Consider the following 1,923-nt stretch of genomic DNA (forward strand, 5'->3'; position numbering starts at 1 on the left):
TGGGTCAAACTTGATATGGTGCTTATACAAAATGAGGATCGGTACACAGTATACTTATATAGTTGCCCAGAAATGTGATACATGGATTTATAATAGGAGAGAAAAAATCCTTCTTTAGTTATGTGCTCCTTCCCGTAGAAGTAAAAATCAAGAAATTGCCATCAACCTTATCCTTCCAGATGGCAGGCTTCTTTATAACTGTTCTCTTAACAAACATGATTCCATTGTTTTCATACTGTAAAAGACACGGGCTCTTTAAAAGAGGCACCAGCAGGCTGTAACAGTAAAAAGAACGAAAAAGATATCTTGAAAGAACTGCAAGTAAAATATGGCACAATTTAAATGGTGTAGAAGCAAAGAGCAATAATCAGAAACGAGAAAATTCATGGTAAGGGACCTGCCTTCGGGCTCATCTCTCCCACAGGCGGCTGGACACCTGCTAGGTCAGCGGAGTCCTCCCTGTGCTCACAGCTTGTGGCCAAGGAAAGAATGGCAAGAATGCCAAACCTAACGGTGGATAAGATACAGACATATGCAGAAAAAAACTGGCAGAAGGGGCTAAGTTCTTCCCTGCTTCGTGGACTCAAATCTGTCTACAAGGGGAAGCCCAGTGATTAGCCAATTTGTACGAACAATGCAAGCCAATTTAGATGTAATGTTTTCTTTCTCTCTTTCTTTTCTTCCTTCCTTTTCCCATGCTGTTTTCTTTCTTTCTTTCTTTCTTTCTTTCTTTCTTTCTTTCTTTCTTTCTTTCTTTCTTTCTTTTCTTTCTTTCTTTTCTTTCTTTCTTTTCTTTTTTTCTCCCTTCCTTCTTTCCTTCCTTCCTTCTTCCTTTCTTCTTTCTTTCTTTCATCTTTCCTCCTTCCTTTAATTCTTTCCTTCCTTTTCTTCTTTACTTCTTTCCCTCCCTCCTTCCTTCCTTCCTCCCTTCCTTCGTTCATCCTTCCTTCCTTTATTCCTTACTTCTTTCATTCTTTTTTCTTTCCTCCTTCCTTTTTTCTTTGTCCTTACCTTCCTTTTTTCGTTCTCTGTTTCCTTCTTTACCATCAAACACCCATCTCTCGTTTTTAGTGAAACATTATTGCAATTTTCTTTTGGAGAAGCACACCTCCTATATTGTGTGCAGTACTGGTGAGGATGTGACTACAAATGCCCTTTCCACCTCTTGTCAAGGAAGGAGCAATGAATGACCAATGCTAGGTTAGTTGGACGCTGAACTAGAGCACTGCCTCCTGTTATGGCTAAGGGCAGGTGGCTGGTTCTCACTCACTCCAGCAGCGGTATGGATGTAGCAGAGAAATTATTTTTTCCCACTGCATAGATTCCCTGGAGCCTCTGGGTGCCTTTTCAATTCAGTCCTGAATTTTTAGGTCTTCCTTGAATTTCATACACTATGCCCATTTCTTTTGAATCATTTCTTTTTTCTCTTAGGTCAGTTCTGAGTGGTTTTATTGCATGCAACCAGTGATCCCTAACTGATACACTTAGGCACCAAAGTGCTCTGTTTTGCTCTTGATCCAACAATTCTGTGGTCTCTAAAATCAGCGTTTATAGATAGATGGTGGCTGTTACGCTCTGAATTGTGCCCTCTAAAATTCATATATTGAAGCCCTAAATGCCAGTATATCAGAATGTGGCTGTGTTTGGAGTTAGGCTCTTTAGAGGGGTGACTAAGGTAAAATGAGGCCTTTAGGCTGGGCCCTGATCTAATAGGACTAGTTTCTTTATAAGAAGAGATTAGGACACAGACACACCCAGAGGGACGATCATGTGAAAACAGAGAGAAGACGGCATCTACAAGCCAAGGAGAGAGGCTTCAGGAGAAGTGAACTCTATGAACACCTTGCCCTTGGATTTTTAGCCTCTAGAATGGTAAGAAAATAAATGTGTATTTTTTTAAGCTAGTCAGACAGTGGTACTTTG

Source organism: Homo sapiens, chromosome X (genome assembly GCF_000001405.40).
Source record: "Homo sapiens chromosome X, GRCh38.p14 Primary Assembly".
In the NCBI taxonomy this organism is placed as follows: domain Eukaryota; kingdom Metazoa; phylum Chordata; class Mammalia; order Primates; family Hominidae; genus Homo; species Homo sapiens.